This window comes from Homo sapiens, chromosome 7, assembly GCF_000001405.40.
Source record: "Homo sapiens chromosome 7, GRCh38.p14 Primary Assembly".
Classification (NCBI taxonomy): Eukaryota; Metazoa; Chordata; class Mammalia; order Primates; family Hominidae; genus Homo; species Homo sapiens.
In genome coordinates, this window is record NC_000007.14 from 102,675,331 (window position 1) to 102,695,940 (window position 20,610).

At 51.1% G+C, this 20,610-nt stretch overlaps 1 long non-coding RNA gene and 1 pseudogene across 2 annotated transcripts in view, besides 1 other annotated feature; one reads left to right on the forward strand and one right to left on the reverse strand.

The window, feature by feature from the left end:
• Positions 1-3,377: 3,377 nt before the first annotated feature.
• Positions 3,378-20,610, reverse strand: part of RASA4DP (RAS p21 protein activator 4D, pseudogene) — a 69,987-nt pseudogene continuing 52,754 nt past the window's right edge. Inside the window, exons 4-12 of the transcript NR_146066.1 lie at positions 15,027-15,139; positions 14,630-14,822; positions 14,287-14,424; positions 13,574-13,718; positions 12,865-13,034; positions 11,384-11,519; positions 7,949-8,069; positions 6,735-6,799; positions 3,378-6,623 (exon numbers count right to left, since the gene is read on the reverse strand). The product of NR_146066.1 is annotated as an RAS p21 protein activator 4D, pseudogene (transcript). The remainder of the gene's footprint in view (positions 6,624-6,734; positions 6,800-7,948; positions 8,070-11,383; positions 11,520-12,864; positions 13,035-13,573; positions 13,719-14,286; positions 14,425-14,629; positions 14,823-15,026; positions 15,140-20,610) is intronic.
• Positions 5,324-6,101: an enhancer, noted in NCBI's record as "H3K4me1 hESC enhancer chr7:102321101-102321878 (GRCh37/hg19 assembly coordinates)". NCBI's record gives its function as "activates a minimal SCP1, AML or CMV promoter by ChIP-STARR-seq in naive H9 embryonic stem cells {active_cell/tissue: H9 hESC(naive)}" and the evidence as "EXISTENCE:reporter gene assay evidence [ECO:0000049][PMID:30033119]".
• Positions 13,657-16,279, forward strand: LOC124901713 (uncharacterized). Its single transcript, XR_007060461.1, has 2 exons — positions 13,657-13,754; positions 13,949-16,279. It is a non-coding gene; the product is annotated as an uncharacterized LOC124901713 (long non-coding RNA).

Sequence of the window (20,610 nt, forward strand, 5' to 3'; positions counted from 1 at the left end):
GCCCAGGAGTTTGAAACTAGCCTGGGCAATATAGCAAGATCTTGTCTCTACTAAAAATTTAAAAAATCAGCAGGGCATAGTAGTGTGTGCCTGTAGTTGCATTTACTTGGGAGGCTGAAGCAATAGGATTGCTTGAGCCCAGGAGGAACAGGCTACAATGAGCTATGACTGCACCACTGCATTCCAGCCTGGGTGGCAGAGCGAGACCCTGTCTCAAAAACAAAACAAAACAAAAGAATGCTTACAAATACATGAAATACATGTACCCAGCTTCTCAGAATGATCCATGAATCAGAGTTCCCACTCTTTTTCTGAATTGATGCGTAGTAGATCTTTGATATGTGTTCATGATATATATGAGTCATCTTTTTTACATGTTTGAAAATTATACTTTGAAAAGGCCTTGTCCGGAGGTGGTTGCTGCATACCTGTTCAGATTTCCTAAGAGGTTGAGAGAAACAGGTACTGGGTGAGCTGGGTCCAGTCAAGCCTTCCCAGGGTGCCTGCCCTGCCCTGTGGTGAACACCAGCCCCCTGGGCTGCAGATATCTGCCTGGGGGTCCAATCAGATCCTCAAGACATCTGGGACTGGGCATGGTGGCTCATGCCTGTAATCCTAGCACTTTGTGAGGATGAGGTGGGCGGATCACTTGAGTTCAGGAGTTCAAAACCAGCCTGGCCAACATGGTGAAACCCCATCTCTACTAAAAATACAAAAATTAGTCAGGCGTGGTGATGGGCACCTGTAATTCCAGCTATTCGGGAGGCTGAGGTGGGATAATCACTTGAACTTGGAAGGCAGAGGTTGCAGTGAGCCGAGAATGTTCCACTATCCTCCAGCTTGGGTAACAGAGGGAGACTCTGTCTCAAAAAAAAAAAAAAAAATAGGCCAGGTGCGGTGGCTTACACCTGTAATCTCAGCACTTTGGGAGGCTGAGGCAGAAGGATCATCTTAGGTCAGGAGTTTAAGACCAGCATGGCCAATATAGTGAAACTCCATGAAACCCCATCTCTGCTAAAAAAAAAAAAAGACAAAATATTAGCTGGGAGTGGTGGCATGTGCCTGTAAATCCCAGCTACTCAGGAGGCTGAGGCAGGAGAATCGCCTCAACCTGGGAGGTGGAGGTTGCAGTGAGTTGAGATCACACCACTGCCCTCCAGCCTGGGCGACAGAACCAGATTCCATCTCAAACAAAAACAAAAACAAAAACAAACAAAACATCTGGGAACCTGCCCCAGGCCCCAGTTGAATGCCAGGGCTTGAAGTCTCTGGGAGGGGGTGGTATAGACTTGTGGGACAGATGGAAGGTATACCCTCTCCTGCTCCTCTTGCTTTTCCAGGTGGCCTCCAGAAACAATGTGGCATGATGGACTATGGGCAGCTCTGCTCAGGGCCTGAGAGGAGAACCAGGGGGCAGTGCCAGGCATGCACTGATGTTAACTTCCCTTCCAGCTGCAGTGGTCAGGATCTGGGGAGGGGAGGAGAGGCATGGTGGATGCTGCCAGAAGGGTGGCTGTGTGTGTGCACTCAAGATCCAGGTTTCCACTTGTAGCCCTAATAAGTCCACGGCTCCTTCCCTTTCACTGCCTGCATTTAGGCTCAGGAGACCCTGGAGGCCATACTTCCTAGAGAGAAGGTCCTTGAAACCCAAGGAGATCCAACAGGCATGAGGATTTTTGTGTACCCCTAAGGAAGTAGCCAGAGAACCAGGTGCTGGTGATTTGGGGTGGGGTAGGGGCTGCATCAGGCTCAGCTGTCCCTGGACCCAGGGCCTTGGGCCAGGAAGGGAGGGGAGGGACCCAATCCAGCAAAAAGGCTTAGGAGCCCATAGGACGGCAGAGCACAGCAGGCTATGAAGCTCTAAGGGGTCAGGCTGGTGGGCTGCCTATGGGGAAAATGGTATCCACCAAGGCCACAGCCAGAAGAAAAGGTTGGTATGGCCCCAAAAGCCATAGGGAAGAGGGAGAGGGCAGGCCCCTTGAATCTTAATTTCCCCTTGACCTTTTTATTTTTTTTTTTGAGACAGCGTCTCTCTGTCACCCAGGCTGGAGTGGAGTGGCCCGATCTCGGCTCACTGCAACCTCCACCTCCTAAATTCAAGCAATTCTCCTGCCTCAGCCTCTCAAGTAGTGATTACAGGCACCTGCCACCATGCCCAGCTAATTTTTGTATTTTTAGTAGAGACAGGGTTTCACCATGTTGACCAGGCTGGTCTCTAACTCCTGACTTCAGGTGATCCACCCACCTTGGCCTCCCAAAGTACTGGGATTACAGGCATGAGCCACCGTGCCCAGCCCTCTTTGCCTTTCCCTACTATTCCTGGAAGAGCCAAGGTATACAGGATGCCCCACTGGCCCTGCCCCAGAACCTAGCTGGGCAGCCAGGTCAGGGGTCATGTCTGAGCCCTGGGACACTAGGGGCTGTCCTAGGCTAAGGACAAAGGGGAGGCTCAGAGCTTGCTTGGATGAGTGTTGAGAATGTGTTCGTGGCTGGGTGCGGTGGTCCTGTAATCCCAGCGCTCTGGGAGGCTGAAGTGGGAGGATGGCTTGAGCCCAGGAGTTGGAGACCAACCTGGACAACATGGTGAGACCCTGTCTCTACCAAAAGTACAAAAAATTAGCTGGGCATGATGGTGCACACCTGTAGTCCCAGCTACTCAGAAGGCTGAGGCAGGAGGATCACTTGAACTCAGGAGTTGGAAGCCGCAGTGAGTTATGATCACTCCACTCCACTCCAGCCTGGGCAACACAGTAAGACTCTGTCTCAAAAAAAAAAAAAAAAAAAAAAAAAAAAAAAAGATGTTCTGGAAGACTCTGCCCCTCCTCTCCTCTGTCTTGTTGTTGTTTTTTTTTTTTTTGAGATGGAGAATCACTCTGTCACCCAGGCTGGAGTGCAGTGGTGCGATCTCAGTTCACTGCAACCTCCGCCTCCCGGGTTCAATCCAATTCTCCTAAGTAGTAGGGGTTACAGATGCGCACCACCGCACCTGGCTAATTTCTGTGTTTTTAGTAGAGACTGGGCTTTGCCATGTTGGCCATGGTTTGCCAGGCTGGTCTCGAACTCCTGAACTCATGTGATCTGCCGGCCTCAGCCTCCCAAAGTGCTGGGATTACAGGTATCCTCAGTCTTGTTAATTACACTGGGGTTTGCTTGCTGTGTACAGTGAGATCAGGATGAGGGTGGTGAGGTGGTGATCAGGGGGACCCATGCTTCTGCTCAGGGGGTTGGCAGAAGCCAGCAAGGCTTGGGGTTTCCCTGTTTGGAGCGCTCCAAGTTGAGAGTGCAGAGGAGTGTGAGATGCGTGTGAAAATGCAAACTTGGCTCTCCCTGGCTGGAGGCTGGCATTGGGTGAGTCTCTGGTAGGACCAGGCCATGTATACTTTTTAAGCTTTTTTATTCTTGAAAAGTTCAAAGATATACAAAGATAGACTATGCAGGATAATGAGCCCCCACATACTCCGCATCTCTTGTCTGTAATTATCAGCTCGTGGCTACCTCTACCTCTCCCCTCTACCTCTTGTCTCATCTCTACCTCTCCCCCTGACCCCTGCCTCTGGGTCATTTTGCAGCAAATCCCAAATGCCTATATCATTTATCCTAAATATTCCATAAACATTCCACTATGTAGCTCTGAAAGATAAGGACGCTTACAACACAACTGCAATATCTTTTTTGTTTGTTTGTTTGTTTTTGTAAAGACGGGGATTTCGCCACGTTGCCCAGGCTGGTCTCGAACTCCTGAGCTCAAGCGATTCTCCCACCTCAGCCTGCCAAGTAGCTGGGATTACAGGCATGTGCCACTGTGCCCAGCCAAGTGCAGTATCTTATCACACCTTTACAAAATTAATAATTCCAATCATCCTATAGTTGATCAGTGTTCAAATTTCCAATTGCCTCATAAAAAGATCATTTCTTAACATTTTGTTTTGTTGCAATTGGTTGCTGTAAGTCACCTAAATATCTTCTCTTTTTTATACTTTTTATTGTAGTAAAATAGGTATAACATACAATTTGCCATTTTAACCATTTTAAGTGTTTAACTCAGTGGTGTTAATTACATTCACAATGTGTAGCCATCACCACTATTTAGTTCAAAAATTTCAAGTCTCCTTTATTTTCCTTTTTTTTTTTTTTTTTTTTTTTAATTTTAGGGACTAGGTTTTGCTATGTTGCCCAGGCTGGCCTTAAACTCCTGGCCTCAAGGTGATCCTTCTGTCTTGGCCTCCCGAGTAGCTGGGACTAGAGGTGTGCACCGTCACACCCAGCTTCAAGTCTCTTATTATAAAGTTCTGGCCACGCACAGTGGCTCGCAACTGTAATCTCAGCACTTTCGGAGGCCAAGGCGGTCAGATCACCTGAGGTCAGGAGTTCGAGACCAGTCTGGCCAACATGGAGAAACTCCGTCTCTACTAAAAATACAAGAATTAGCTGGGCATGGTGGCACACGCCTTTAGTCCCAGCTACTCGGGAGGCTGAGGCAAGAGAATTGCTTGAACCTGGGAGGCAGAGGTTGCAGTGAACCAAGATCAAGCCATTTGCACTCCAGCCTGGGCAACACAGTGAGACTCTGTCTCAAAAAAAAAAAAAAAAAAAAAACTATAAAGTTCCCCTTCATCTGAAAATTGAATGTGATTTTAAACAACCTATTTGAGCCTGAGGTAGATGTCTAAGTTCAAAGCCCACTCCTCCCTTCTGGGGGTCCCAGTTTCGTGATCTCTTCTTCCCTTTCCTTCCTGGTAGCTTAAAAAAATAGAGATAACAGGATAAAGGTGAGGAATGAAGGAATGAATGGATGCAGGCAGACGTGAAAACAGCGCCCACCTGGAGAGCTAGAAACATCTGGAGGGCTGGGACCACCTGGAGACGCCCCGTGTCTATGAGCTGCTGTTGTGAGGAGCCTGGAGCCAGTGGACGCTGGGAGGGAGGAGGCTTTAGAGTGGGGGGCAACCGGGGGAGGAAGGAGGTTGGCTGAGCCAGGTCTGGGGGCCTCAGGGACTTCTGTGTCCTCATAACCCACAAAAGCCCTGCCCACCTTGCCCCGGGGCGGCCCACAGTAGCAGCGGCTGGTGGTCCCTACAGCCGGTCAGCCCCAAGAGCGGGCACAACGTGTGGCCTGGGTACCACAGGGCCAGAAGAGAGGGACAGGGGCCCTGCTCCTGTCACCTGCTGCTTCTGCCACCCCAGGACCAAGTCATTGGTGTGAGCCGGTGGCCAGACATCACTGCCCCGCAGGCAGTGGGGGCTCCTCTTGGGCTGGGGGCAGGGCTTGGTGGGCAGCCCTATGGGAGGGGGAGCTGGTGGGGGACCACAGGGACTGACCAAAGAAAGGCAGGCCAGATCCCAGGACAGCAGGGGTTCTAAGTCCCCAAGAGTGGGGACTGGGCCGGAGTCAAGTTTTGCCAACCATCGGACCAGCCCCGGGCCTCTATGATGAAGGCATCAGAGAAACCCCATGGGGCCAGAAAGGGGCTGGGGCAACGGTGCACCTTTGGGATCTGGGGTCAGAGGGGGAAGGAGGTGACTGCATGGCAAGGCAAGAGCTGAAGGCCTTCTGGAGAAGGAGGGTCCAGTCCTTGTCCCCACCCTGATCCAGGTCACTGTGGACGCAGCTGGGAGCTGAGCCTGGCAGCCCATGTGACACAATGGTGGGGGGATGGGAGCCCCTACGTGGCCAACACTGCCAGCCACACAGCTAGAGGGCTTGGGGTAAGGGCTGCGTGAAGAGGAATGGGGTCTCTGAGTCCCGCCTCTGTGCTGTCCTCAGGGACACCCTAGAGAAGGGACTTGCTTGGGGGCTGCTTTGAGGAGAGAACAGCTGGTTGGACACACTGGGCTCTGTGGCCTGTGGGACATGAAAGAGGGGACCCAGGGACAGCAACTGGGAAGGGAAAGGAACCCCCGACCCCAGAAGAGTGGGGGGAAGAAAGAGGGGGGAACAGGGATGCCCAGAGCCCATACTGTCAGCCCCATCATCGGCACATCCACCGACAGCCTCCGGGGTCCCCCCGGGCCCACTTTCTCCCCAGACCCTCATCACAAGACCCCAGAGCCTGGACAGTAAGAGCAGGTTTACTGTTGGCAACAGCACAGCCCTGTGGCACCCAAGGGTAGCGGGTGGGGTGGCGGCCGGGTCTCCTGGGGCCCCGTTCTCCCTCCCATTCTCTAGGTCCCTGGAGGCCAGACCCCTGGGTGCGGCCCATCCTAGCAGTGGTTCTGGCTGGGTCTGTCCTGGGCAGGAGAGGAGGGTCCCTGGAGAGGCAGTGATGGCTACAGCGTCTGTAGGGAGCTGGGGACACTTCCGGCCAGCCATGACAGGCCCAAGCCTGCTCAGCTCTGCACTTCTGGGGATCCCCTTATTCCTGACTCTCTCCCCTCCCCCACCTGGAAGAGACCTAGGCCCTGCACCCTAATGAGGAGGACCGGGGTGAGGGGGTGCAGAGTGTCCTGGGGGGGCTCCGAGCGCTTGGCAGGGGACTCAGCAAGGGGAGCGTAGGGCGGGCCTCACGTCTGCAGCTCCAGGAGGCAGTTGGGCTCTGAGGGTGGGGAGCCGGCCGGGCTGGAGCTATGGGCCTCGCGGAGGTCCTGCAGCACCCGGAGCAGCCGGGCCAATGAGTCCTCAGGGACTGTGGGCAGAGGCAGCCGTGAGGGCCCCTGGGAGTGAGCCCGAGGACCCCACCCGTGCATCTCTGGAGGGGGCTCGGGCCACGAGCAAGTCCCAGGTGGGCAAGACCTACCTTTGCCAGGGCTCGTGGGCACCGTGCCTGCCTCTGCGCCCCCGCTCAGCTCCCGGTGCCTCTCCCTGTGGGGGAGGTCAGAGTGAGGGCCAGCAGCCTCTACTCTCCCTGCCAGACCTTCTGGTGTCCTTGTGGGAAGGCTGGGGGTGGCCCAGCATGGGCCTCCTGGGCTAGAGGTGGCTCTGGGGGTGATGGCAGGGCTGACTCTTTCAGTCTGTGAAGAGGCTGGGCCAAGGCCCACCAGGGCACCTTCCACCTTCTCCCTCCCCGTGTCTCCTCCTCCTCCCCATCCCACTGTGGGTTGACCAGAAGGCCCTTTGCATTTGTTTTGTTTTGTTTTTGAGACAGAGTCTTGTTCTGCGGTCCAGGCTGGAGTGCAGTGGCGCAATCTAAGCTCACTGCAACTTCCACCTCCTGGGTTCAAGCAATTCTCCTGCCTCAGCCTCCTGAGTAGCTGGGATTACAGGCACCCTCCACCACATCAGTTAATTTTTGTATTTTTAGTAGAGAAGAGGTTTCGCCATGTTGGCCAGGCTGGTTTCAAACTCCTGATCTCCAACAATCTGCCTGCCTCCACCTCCCAAAGAGCTGGGATAACAGGCATGAGTCACCGCACCCCACCTTCGTGGGTTTTGAGGGCAGAGATAAACCCTGGAAGAGTCGATGAGGAATGGGGAGGACCACACCCTTCCTCCTTGCAGAGTGTAGGGGTGTGACAGATGAATGAGCTCCAGCTCCAGTTGGCTCAGGGGAAGCTGAGCGCATGGGAAGCACTGGATCACCTTGAAGTATCCTGGCACCAGCCACATCTCCAGAGACCCTGAGTGATGGGGCCTTGGCATCCTGTTTTTTAAAGCTGATCTTTAAAAGCATCTTGTTTTTTCTAAGCTTCTGCCAAGGCTGAGAACCACTGGATGAAGCAAGATGGCCAGGGAACTCAGGGAATTGGCTGAGGCTGTGCCTGTACTCCAAGGGCCCAGGGGAACAGCTGGGCAGGTTGCAAGGTGGGCTCAGTCAGCACATGGCATGAAGCAGGCATGGCCCTGACCCTTGGGGCCTCTGTCCTAACCTGAGCTGGCCTCGTGCTGCAGAGAGGTACTCCTGGTGCCCTCCCCAGATGTGGCCAATTACAAGAGAGGTGACCAGCCACCATGGAGCAGCCCCAAGCCTGGCACGTTCCCCAGGCTGCACAGGCTCTCCTGGGTGGGACTCACCACAGCATGGCCTCCACGCCCAGCAGGTGCCGGTAGATGAGCTGGGCCTCAAGGTCATGGTCAAGAGGGTCATTCCACTCCTGCAGGGTCACCCGTGACCGGGTCTTATCGCAGCCCTGACCTGGGGGCACAGAGAGGGCAAAGTTACGAGCAGACACTTGGGACTACCATGTCCAACACTGTGGTTGCACAGATGGAGAAACAGAGGCCTGGAGAGGAGAGAGATGCACTCGGGGGTCCCTAGTGAGGGCTGGGCTGGGAGCATAGCCTGGTAAGTCTGACCCAGGCCCTGCCTCGGCTCCCCACCCTCTGGGGGCAGCAGCTCCTCTTGGGGTCAGCCCCTGCACCACGGGATGCATGACTGAGGAGTATGGATATCATCAGGATATGACTTGGGTTGCTGGGTAACTTTTGGTTTTTTTTGAGACGGAGTCTCGCTCTGTCGTGCAGGCTGCAGTGCAGTGGCGCGATCTTGGCTCACTGCGAGCTCTGCCTCCCAGGTTCACGCCATTCTCCTGTTTCAGCCTCCTGAGTAGCTGGGACTGCAGATGCCCGCCACCACGCCCAGCTAATTTTTTATATTTTTAGTAGAGACGGGGTTTCACTGTGTTAGCCAGGATGGTCTCGATCTCCTGACCTCGTGATCCACCCGTCTCGGCCTCCCAAAGTGCTGAGATTACAGGCGTGAGCCACTGCGCCCAGCCAGGGAGCCGGGTAACTTTCTGGAAGACTGTCTGCCTGGAATGGAGCAGGCTGAAATGTTAACATCATGGTGAGGTGGGCCACAGGGGGTTCATGCCTTAGAATGAGCTGGTCCTGCAGCTTGCTGTCTTTATGACCTTGCCAAGTCATCTGCCTTCCCTAAGCCTCAGCTTCTCCTCCATACAGTGGAATAACAGGCCCTGTCTCTTGGGCCAGGGTGGGTCCCACCTTGCCGATAATGAGAGTATGGCTCTGATGGTTACAGGCAGAGGCTGCAGGCCATATCAGCCAGCCAGCAATGCCCTTGCAAAGAGTCACCAAGAGGCCAGGCACAGTGGCTCACACCTGTAATCCCAGCACTTTGGGAGGCTGAGGCAGGAAGATAGCTTGAGGCCAGGATTTCAAGACCAGTCTGGGCAACATAGTGAGACCCTGACTCTACAAAAAAATAAAATAAAAAATAGCTGGGTGTGGTGGCATGTGCCTGTAGTCCCAGTTCTGCAGGAGGCTGAGGCAGGAGGATGGCTTGAGCCCAGGAGGTCAAGGCTACAGTGAGCTATGATTATGCCACTGCACTCCAGCCTGGGTGAGAGAGTGAGAGACCCAACTCAAAACAAAAACAAAAACAAAAGAGTCACCCATCCCTATACAGTGCTTGGCTGTAAATCCAGGGCTGGGCTAGAGTGCGTGGGTCAGTTTTCGATGGCCTCTGCCACACTGGGCTCTGGGGACCAAGATTTGGCCTGGCCTGAAGGACAGGGGACTCGAAGTGCTGAGTCTACTCTGTAAAGTAAGTGTGGATAACAGGGAGAAGGTCTCGAAAGTTCTAGAACTGTGCTGTTCTACAGGGCGGCAGCTAGCCACATGAAGCTATTTGAGTTAATTAAAATTAAAACAACGTTTTTTGTTTCTTTTCTGTTTGTTTTTTTTTTGTTTTTTTTTTTTTTTTTTTTTTTTTTTTTTTTTTTGAGATGGAGTCTCGCTCTGTCGCCAGGCTGGAGTGCAGTGGCACCATCTTGGCTTACTGCAACCTCTGCCTCCCAGGTTCAAGCAGTTCTCCTGCCTCAGCCTCCTGAGTAGCTGGGACTACAGGCCCACGCCGCCATGCCTGGCTAATTTTTTTTTTGTATTTTAGCAGAGATGGGGTTTCACCATGTTGCCTAGGCTCGTCTCTAACTCCTGAGCTCAGGCAATCCGCCTACCTTGGCCTCCCAAAGTGCTAGGATTACAGGCGTGAGCCACCACACCCGGCCAAAACAACATTTTTAAAAATGTGAAACTCAGGCCAGATGTGGTGGCTCACTCCTACAATCTCAGCACTTTGGGAGGCCGAGGCAGGAGGATTGCTTGAGCCTGGGAATTCAAGACCAGCCTGAACAACATAGCAAGACCCCACCTCTAAAACAATTTTTTTTAAATGAGCCAGGTGTGGTGATGCATGCCGGTAGTGCCAGCCTACTCAGAGGCTGAGGCAGGAGGATTGCTTGAGCCCAGGAGTTGGAGGCTGCAGTGAGCTATGATCGTGCCACTGCACTCCAGCCTGGGCAACAGAGCAAGACCCTGTTTTAAAAAATTAAACAAAAAAAACCCCTCAGCTCCTCAAGCCACATTTCAAGTGCTCAAGAACCACAGGTGCTAGAACCTAGAGTACTACACAGTATGGAGTCCTTCTAGAAGCTCCTCTATGCCATCCCTCTAGTGCCCAAGGCTCAGGGTCCCCTCCCACCCACAGCTCCGGATTCAGATGGCCAGCATTGGAGTGTGCGAACCCAGGGGCTCTCTGGCTCTCATTAGCAGGGGGCTCCTCGAATGTGTTCCTGAGAACACCTGTTCTGTAAGAAGCTCCTTGGGGAAGAGAAGGGTTCCCTGTCAAAAGAGTTTGGGAAGTGCTGGGTTAAACCACGTTAGAAATGGAATTCTAGGCCGGGCGTGGTGGCTCACACCTGTAATCCCAGCACTTTGGGAGGCCGAGGAGGGCAGATCACGAGGTCGGGAGTTCAAGACCAGCCTGGCCAACATGGTAAAACCCCGTCTTTACTGAAAATACAAAACTTAGCTGGGTGCAGTGGCTTGCGCCTGTAGTACTTGGGAGGCTGAGGCAGGAGAATCACTTGAGCCTGGGAAACGGAGATTGCAGTGAGCCGAGATTGCACCACTGCACTCCAGCCTGGATGATAGAGCGAGACTCAGTATCAAACAACAACAACAACAACAACAACAACAACAACAAAACAAGAGCAGCTTGACTAACATGGTGAAACCCCATCTCTAGTCAAAATACAAAAAAATTAGCTAGGCTTGGTGGCGAGTGCCGGTCATCCCAGCTACTGGGGAGGTTGAGGCAGGAGAATTGCTTGACCCTGGGAGGTGGAGATTGCAGCGAGCTGAGATCGTGCCATTGCACTCCAGTCTGGGGGACAGAGTGAAAGTCTGTGTCTGAAAAAAAAAAAAAAAAGAAGAAGAAGAAATAAAAAGAAATGGGATTCTAACGTGTTTTCGGGCCTCCTTAGAGCCTTCAGCGAATTCACTCATATGCATCACACACATCACGTGGCATTTCCCAAACCACCTGGTCCACGGGACCCTTTCTGCCCAGAGCTCCTGGAGGGGCCAGCATTCCTTGGGTTAGGTCCCTGCAGGTGCACAGCAGGGCTCAGGGTCCCATCGTTCAGCCAGAGGCCCGATCTCGCAGTGGACGGATGCAGAGCCCGGGACCCAGGCCTCCTCTCCCACCTGTCTTCTCTTTTTGGTGGCAGCAGCTCCACTTGTCCCCACGGAAGACGCCAGGGTGGTAGGAGCCCAGCAGTCCGGTGTTGTTGATGCTCACCTTCCACAGCGCAGACAGCCACTGGTTAAGCTCATTCACACACTGCAGGGGACACGGAGGGGGAGGCCTGTTCAGACGTCACCTCCTCCAGGAAGCCCTCCTAACCCGGAGCTCCTGTACCACGCCAGACGCCATGTTCCCCACCATACCAACCCAGCAGCTTTGAGTGAATTAGGAGAAGCTGCCCTTCCTCCAGTGGAACATGACCCATGCCCGGGCGCATGGCCTGGAGAGCAGGTGCAGTGGCTCACTCCTATAATCCCAGTGGCTCACTCCTATAATGCCATCATGGCTGGCTAATTCCTTTTTTTTAGAGATGGGGTCTTGCTACATTGGCCAGGCTGTTCTCAAACTCCTGGCCTCCAGTGATCCTCCCACCTCAGCCTCCCAAAGTGCTGGGACTACAGCTGGGATTATAGGGGGCCGAGGTGGGAGGATCGCTTGAGCCCAGGAATTCAAGACCAGCCTGGGCAACACAGCAAGACTTCATCCTCTCCTCTCCCACCTGTCTCGTCTTTTTGGTGGCAGCAGCTCCACTTGTCCCCACGGAAGGCACCGGGATGGTAGGAGCCCAGGAGGCTGGTGTGGGCTGGATTTCAGCCGCCGCTGGCCCCTTGGCCACGCTCGTAGGTATTCCAGAACCCGCCAAATATATTTGGTGGCCCTGATATCACTACTTTTCCCAGTGGCTCTGGACCCTGACACAAAAGGGAACTCCTAGAGGGAAGGGCACAGAGGGACAGGTCTGTGACTTCCTCCCCACAGGCCAGGACGGTCAAGCCCGGAAGAAACCAACCCCCCTCCAGCTGCAGGCTTCTTACTTGTCCCACATGTCCCTGCCCTAGACACACATCTGGGTCACCCTCCTACAAGGTCCCTGCTCGAATGCCACCCATCAGAGGTCCTCCCTGACCACTCTTTAATTAATTTACTAATTAATTAATTTATTTATTTTGAGATGGAGTCTTGCTCTGTCACCAGGCTGGAGTGCAGTGGCTCGATCTCAGCTCACTGCAACCTCCACCTCCCAGGTTCAAGTGATTCTCCTGCCTCAGCCCCCCAAGTAGCTGGGACTACAGGCACCCACCACCACACCCGGCTGATTTTTTGTATTTTTAGTAGAGACGGGGTTTCTCCATGTTGGCCAGGCTGGTCTCAAACTCCTAACCTCAAGTGATCCACCCGCCTTGGCCTCCCAAAGTCCTGGGATTACAGGCGTGAGCCACCGTGCCCGGCCCTCCTAGGTTCTGACAAGCAGTACAGATGCCACACACCTGGCTTTCTTCTCTGACCCCAGGGGTACCTCAAGTGGGCTCCAAGGAAGGGGACAGGTGCCCCACTTGCCGGCCTCTCAGAGCCCCACTTGCCGGCCTCCCTCCTTACCCACCTTGGAGCTGGGCGTCTTCGCGAAGCTGAGGGCCTCGGTAGTGAGGGAGAAGTAGAGCTTCTTGAAGGAGGAGGACATGAGGGGGCCCTTGCCCTTGGTCCTGTGGATGAAGAGTGGCCCCTCCTTCACAGGTGGCGCCTGCAAACTCAGCGTCCGCTGCAGGTCCAGCTCTGCCAGGCCAGGGAGGGAGGGGAATAGAGAGCCCAGTGAATGAGGGCGGGACTGGGGGGAGCGGAGCAGTGGGAGGGGCCATGGGGCTCAAGGGCTGAGCAAATCTGAACAGCAGGCAGTGGACGTAGTCATGGGGCTCAAGGGCGGAGCAAACATCAACAGCTGGTGGTGAGCGGGGTGACAGGTGGACTGAGGAAGGCAGGGCCATGGGCTTGGAGGCGGGACACGCGTCAGTAGCAGGTGGCGGCGGGGCTATGGAGCTCAAGGATGGAGCAAATGTCAACAGGCGCAGATGATGCGGGGGTGAGGCCATGGGTCTAGGGGTGGGGCAAACGTCAACGGCAGGCAGTGGGCAGGGTCACAGGAAGCACAAACAGTGGTGCGTGGGTCTATGGCCTGGGGGCCTGGCAAATGCCAACAGCAGGCGGTGGGTGGGGCCACGAGAGGAACAAACAGCGATGGGTGGGGCCGTGGGGCTCAAGGGCGGAGCAAACGTCAGCAGTAGGCTGTGGGCGGGTCTGTGCAGGGCGGCGCTCACCGTCCTTCTCCTCGATGTCCACGAGCTTGGTGATGAAGTCCTTCAGCTGCGCCACGCCCTGGCGCACGGTGGGCTGCAGCGGCTCCATCCAAGCCTCCTTGGCCCTGGAAGCCGGCGTGTCCATGTTGCCCACGTTCTGGACTGCCTGGAGGTGACAGCAGGAAGGACCAGGTTCTGCTAGGTTAGGGGCCTAGCCACTGCACCCCCTCCCACCCCCCCTCCCCAAGTCTTTGCTACTCAGCTGTAGCGATGGAGGCAGAGGCGACAGAGGCCATGCCCACGGGCCCCCTCCAGCCCCACTAGGGATCAGGGAGGAGAGGATCATGAAGTTTGATGCCTTATGATAACTGAGACCACTTGGGCCTTCCTCTGTAGGTTTAACTGACGCTGCTGCACTGGATACCCCACCCCGGTGCCGGGCACATAGGTGCAGCCTGAGAGTAAGCAGACCCGGGTTGGAAGGTCCCGCGATTCACCACCGACAGGATGGGCGGCCTTGGCAACCCCCGACCCCTCGCAGGCCTGTTCCCTTATCCATGAGATGGAGCTCGGACAAGGTGGCCACAGGAAGGCTTTGCAAACTGTGAAGTGCAGTGCCTACGTGGGCGTGCCAGTGGCCTCGCCGGAGCCGGTAGGGAACACTCTGCAGTCCAGGCCAGGGCCCCGGTAGGACACCCAGCTGTGCATCCCGCCCGTGGCCGCAAGGCCCGCACCTTAGCCAACAGGAGCAGGGTGCGGCTGGTGCGGGCGTCCGCGTGGCGCTCCCGCAGGTGGAAGAGCTTGGGCGACATGATGGCGGGGGAGAAGAAGCGCAGGCACAGGAAGCTGGTGACGGCGATGAACGGTACATTCTGGAGGGGTGCGGAAGAGCGCGGGCTGGAGTCCCCCAGACCAGGGCTCCTGGCAGCCCCCTCCCCTTAGGCTCTGTCCCTGACCCTCGCTGCGACACAGCCTCCCTGGTCCTCCCCAGCGCTCCCTGGTTCCCCACCGCTCTTCACTCCTCGCCCCAGCCCAGTCCAACCCGGCCCAGCCTAGCCCAGCGGGTGGAGGGCGCACCTCGTGCTGGGCGCCGGGGAAGCGCTCGCGCACGCGCCGGAAGAGCTGGCGGAAGGTGGCGCGCACCACGGCGGGGCACGCGCGAACCGAGCGGCTGAGCGCGCTCAGCAGGGCCCCCAGGTGGGCGCGCAGCGTCTGCGCGCTCTGCTCCAGCACCTCGGCCTCGGTCTGCGGGCGGTGCAGCCTGGAGCACCTGCGTGGAACGGGGCGGGTTGGCAGAGGAGGTCGCGGTCAGCGCCAGGGCCACGACAGGAACAGTGGCTCTCACAGCAGCCAGGACACGGACACAGGGGACAATACACGGGTGGGCAGAAGCACAAACACACATGCTGACAGGGCCTGATCCCAACCCGCTGCCGCTGCACCCCGCAACCCCCGGAGTTACCCCCGGCCTCACCCTACATCCTTAACTTCCACTTTGCTGGGGTCCAGCTCCACGTACTTCTTCTCCTCAAACACCTTGTTGATGATGGGGCCCAGGACGCCGTGCAGGTACTGCATCCCGGCCACCTGGGGACCACCGCAGGTCACATTGATCCTGTCTCCCCCAGTCCCACTCCAGCTGCCCACCTTCTCCCGGCAGCCGCCCTTGCACCGTTTGCCTGCCGTATCCGCCCAGGAGGGGGCCAGGTACACATGCAGGGCAAACTGTTTATTCATGAATGAATGAATGAGTGAGTGAATGAATGACTAGAATTCTTAGCCCTTGTAATCCTAGCACTTTGGGAGGCCAAGGCAGGAGGATCACTTGAGGCCAGGAGTTTGAGACCAGCCTGGGCAACATAGTGAGACTGTCTCTAACTTAAATTTTAATCACACACACATTCTCTTTGGGGGGGGGTGCGGGGCACGGAGTCTAGCACGGGGCCCAGGCTAGAGTGCAGTGGCGTGAGCTCACTACAACCTCTGGCTCCTGGTTCAAGTGAGTCTCCTGCCTCAGCCTCCCCAGTAGCTGGGATTACAGGTGCCCACCACCATGCCAGGCTAATTTTTGTATTTTTAGTAGAGATGGGGTTTCGCCATGTTGGCCAGGCTGGTCTCGAACTCCTGACCTTAAGTGATCCGCCCGCCTCAGCCTCCCAAAGTGCTGCAATTACAGGCATGAGCCACTATGCCCAGCCACATTCTTAACCTTAAAGGGCTCTGAATATGGAGATAGAACACTGGAGTCGAAGTCCCAGCCCCCTCTGTCGCTCTCTCTGAAGCTCAGTGACTACTCCAGTATTAAATGATGCATGTATAAAGTTAGTCACTCTATCATTATCTGTAATAGCAGATGATTGGAAATGACCTAAATGTCTCATAATAAGGAACTAGTTTTAAAAAGCATGTTCCATTCATGCCTTGAAATACTATACATTGAAAAAATAAAAATTGTATAAATATGTGAAAAAAACAGTGTGTATATTATACTACGACTTACTTCTTTGTGCATAGATGTTCTACAAGGCTATATAAAAGATTGTTAATTATGGTTGTCTCTTGGGAGGGGGAGTTTAGATTGTATAATGGGGTAGAAGGCTGACTTTTCGTTGTTTACTATTCTGCACCTTCTGGATTTTGTACTATGTATATATTTTATATATTAAAATAGCTTTATATAAATAAAACTAGCCCCATGGCTGAATAAATTTTATTACAATTTTCTTATGATTCCCTGATACTCTGTTCCTTAACTTCCTAGTCTGGCTTGCATCTCACTGCTTGACCATTGAGAACCTGATCTTGCTTGCCTAATGAAAACTTTAGTAATTGTCTTGTCTTAGCTAACTTTACTGGGTTGACTCCTGCTAACTCATTTTACTGATTTACCTGTAAGTCTGGTTACCAGATGGACAAATTCCCAATCCTACTCCCTTCTGTTTATTTGCCAAGGAATCTACCCAACAGACAACAGTACCCTCTCTCTACCTATATATTAATACATTTTTTGTTGAAAAAGGTATTTTATTTTAATCCTTAAGCTTCCATCTTTAGTCCCCAATGTATTAAAATAGTGATTGCATTACTAAAGAGACTGTTTTACAAGATGCACATTCACCTAAGAGCCACGAGCTTTCCAAAGCCAACCTTCTCTCAAAGGAGAAAATACTATTATTTCTCCTAGTACTTATTTTGAAGAGCAACATCCGTTCAGCGACTATTTAGAAAGCCAGTATCAAAGTTTAGATTATTATTTTTAATATTTAATCAAGTTGCTACAACAGTAGTTAACAATCAATGAAAAATAAAGAGGTGATTAAAATGTATTAACTATGTAATTAAACACATGCACATACACATACAAACTAGGATCTCATTATGTCAGTAAAGAACTAGAAAAGGATAAAGGAGAAGAGAGGCAAATAAACCACACAAACAGAGGGACAGATGGGCCACTGAGGGTAGGGCCACTGCTGCGTTTTCCTCCCATTCCTAGCCTTGGGTTTGGCATATTGTAGATGCTCAGGAAAGATTTTTCAGAATGAGTTAAGGAAGATAATCTCACAGATTGTATGTGAGGAGGTAAAGGACCAATTTTTCTTTATCTTTCTTCTTCTCTGTCCCCTTTTCAACATCCTTCTGACTCCCTCTTACCACTAAGCACAGCTTGTTCAAATAGAGTTGTTCTGACAATACCCCAGATTCCTGGCCAAAATCAATCTCCATGTTTGTCATTTTAAAGATGCCAAGAGGAGGACATCCTAACACAGTGCCTTCTTTCCTCTTACCCTGACCTCTTCTGCAGTGTACCATTTAACTGAATTGAGGGGTATTAATCTACTTTGCAAAGTGGAATATGGCCTGTATTCTTATAATCTTAGCATCAATATTCAATCTTTGTAAATGGATTTAGTTATGTTGATATCTCAAATATTTAAGTGCATTACAAGGTCTTCTTCCATACTGGAAAAGTTTTTAAATTTCCACCCCACTGTCAGAGTAAAAACAATAATAACAAAAATATGGGAACAATAGAACCTATCTGTACTGTTCAATAAACTATCCGTCTCTTTGAAGATTCTTGACAGCCAAGGAAAATCTTGAAAAATTATTATTCTTGCAAGGGTGCCTAGATGTCTGAAGGAAAAGCGAAAACATGTCAATAATAGCAAGATTTGCAGGAAGGTTTATAAAAGAAAATTGGTCATTTTTTAAAGCACAGCCTATAAGTACAGCTGTTAGTGAGGGGTGATAACTAAGGAGAGGATGGGGAAACATACTAGAAATATTTAAACAGAGTGTACATAGTTATCTTTGTTTTAATACACAGTCTACTTTAAAAGTCAAATTGTAAAACCTAAAATAGCAGTGTTTAAATGTGTGAATGTCAAGTGAAATGCGCGCTGAAGCAGGAAACGGAAGATTGGGTTCCAAATTCCACCCCGATGTGTAACCCAGGGCGAGTCTCAATCTTCCAGAATCTTTAAGATGGAAATAGCAATATCTCAAACCTCCTATTACAGAATCATTCTGAAAAGTAAGTTTACATACTTGAAACTACTTCGTAAGCTCCTTGAGGGTGGGGTTCTTATCTTTTCCCCTTTATAACCAGTTACTTAAGGTATAAAAAAATAGAAAATATTTAATTCCTCGAAAAAAATTGAAATGTCATTAGGGATTATCTCAAGAAGCTCATTAGTAACTCTATAGAAGGTCCAACCTACAAAATAAATGAAGCTTTAGTAGCGTCAGCAAATCACCGATACTTTCAGTAATTAAAACTTTAGTTTAATTTTAGGCCAGGTGCAGGGGTTTACACCTGTAATCCCAGCATTTTGAGAGGCCGAGGTGGGTAGATCACTTGAGCCCGGGAGTTTGAGACCAGCCTGGACAACATGGTGAAACTCTATCTCTACATAAAATACAAAAATCAGCCAGGCCTGGTGTTATGTGTCTGTGGTCCCAGCTACTCCAGGGGCTGAGGTGGGAGGATTGCTTGAGCCCAGAAGGTAGAAGTTGCAGTGAGCTGAGATTGTGTCACTGCACTTCAGTCTGGGCAACAGAGACAGACTTTACATCAAAGAAATTTATTTAAAAAACCAACATTTATTTATCTGGTACCAGCCTTAAGAGAACAAAATATATAGAAAATAAAGCATCTTTTGAATATGTGAATATCCTCATAAAAAAAGATAATTTTACAAGTATGAAATTAGGTAAACAATGGCAGCATCTTTTTTTAAATACACAGTGGTAGACCGTGTTGTTAAATATACATAGGTATCAAGTTGCAATTCTTTCAGAAAGCATTCTGATTACTATATCAACAACCTACCGTGTCTACTACACCTCTGGCCAGAGACTTCCCCCATAGGCTCAGATCCACATACTGGACATTCCCTTCAGACCTGTTGCTTCTTCTGAACTCTCATGTATGGTGCCATAATTTGGCTGATTTCCTAAATCAGAATGCCAAGCATCAATTTAGAATCTTTTCCTCACCCACTCCATCCACTCAGACACTAAGTCTATAGAATTTTATACTTCCTTAACATCTCTCCTAAATGTATTCACTCCTTTTTTCCTCATTGCCAATGCCACTGTGCAGTCTCTCTTCACATCTTCATCACTGAAACGGCATTCTAACTGGTGAGATGGTAGGAATGGAAAACACAAATTCAAGAGATATTAACAAGAGAGAACCAACTGACAGAACCCAGGAGCAGAGTTCGGTTCCGGAGAAGGATAATGGATTTAGTTGTGAGTATGTTTAGTTTGAGGTACTTTGGGGTCATCTACATGAAGATATTCCAAGTATGTGCATACATGGGTATGGGCAAAGAAACCAGATTCATAGTGGACCCTGTGTATATGGATGCAATATCCCCTTTCATGTCTTACTGCCTTAAAAGCCTTTCTAGACCGTCTCATCCCACAGCAGTCAAGCCTCCCTTTCCCTTCTGATAACACTGCTTGTATCCTCTGGGTCCAAAATCATATGCCTTTTGTTGACATTTAATATTTCAATCTTCTTGTTCACAAATAATGCTTCTAAAGAATAGGAACCTTTTTATGCTTTATGTCCATAAATTCTCATGGTATCTAGCATAATCCAGCACACAGGAGGTGCTCAAAACCAAGGAGGAGTTGAAGGGATGAATTTCAGTAGCTTTAGTAATAATAATTATAAACATCTAGCACAGTGCCTGGCACATAGTGAATGCTGTATCTTTTATCTTTTAAATAGATTAAGACTTAATGTCCAAAATTATTGTTCACAAGGTTCTTGACATCTTAATACTCACCAAATCTGACATGCAACTGAAACTTGGACACAAATGCTGCTATTACATATTTTGTAAGAAGTACAACCACTCATAGTTTTATATATAACCTGTTTTCGTGAAAAGGTCATATATTAACAAACTTAATCCATCTTCATCATTGCCCATGATGATTGGTACACATCCACACTCTACTTTTAGTTTCATATTCTATTTTGATTCGTAGTTTTACTTCCTCGGTGTTTCCCTACAATGTTTGTTCTCCCTTTTATGCCTCCCAAATGCAATGCTCCTATGCCTCCTTTTTTCCACCCCTTGGCTAAGTCAGGTCAAAGACTTACTTAACAATGATTGGAACAATAATTATTTTCAGGAAATAAAGAGAAGGGAGGAGATGCCTGGCTCTTGGTAAAAAGCAAAGAGCCAATTATTTCGCTTAGGCGAAATAATTTAATGTTTTGATTTTGGCTCACAGCATTAAGACAAAAATGATTTTACGGCCTCCAAGTCGTGGAAAAGTTCAGCATCTGACACACTGACCCTTGACAAGTGAGGCCACATTTATAAATCAGTGCTGTTTTACATAAGCACATACAGATAGAAGTAGAAATCCTAACTAGGGAATACCGTGAAAGCTATCACTTGTATTAACCCTGGACATGTGACAGCATCTAACATAATACCCATTGGAGTGTATGCTGGTTCAACCTCTTTGGAAAACTGATTGAAGGTCTTTACTAAAGCTGAATATAAACCTAGACTATGACAGATTAA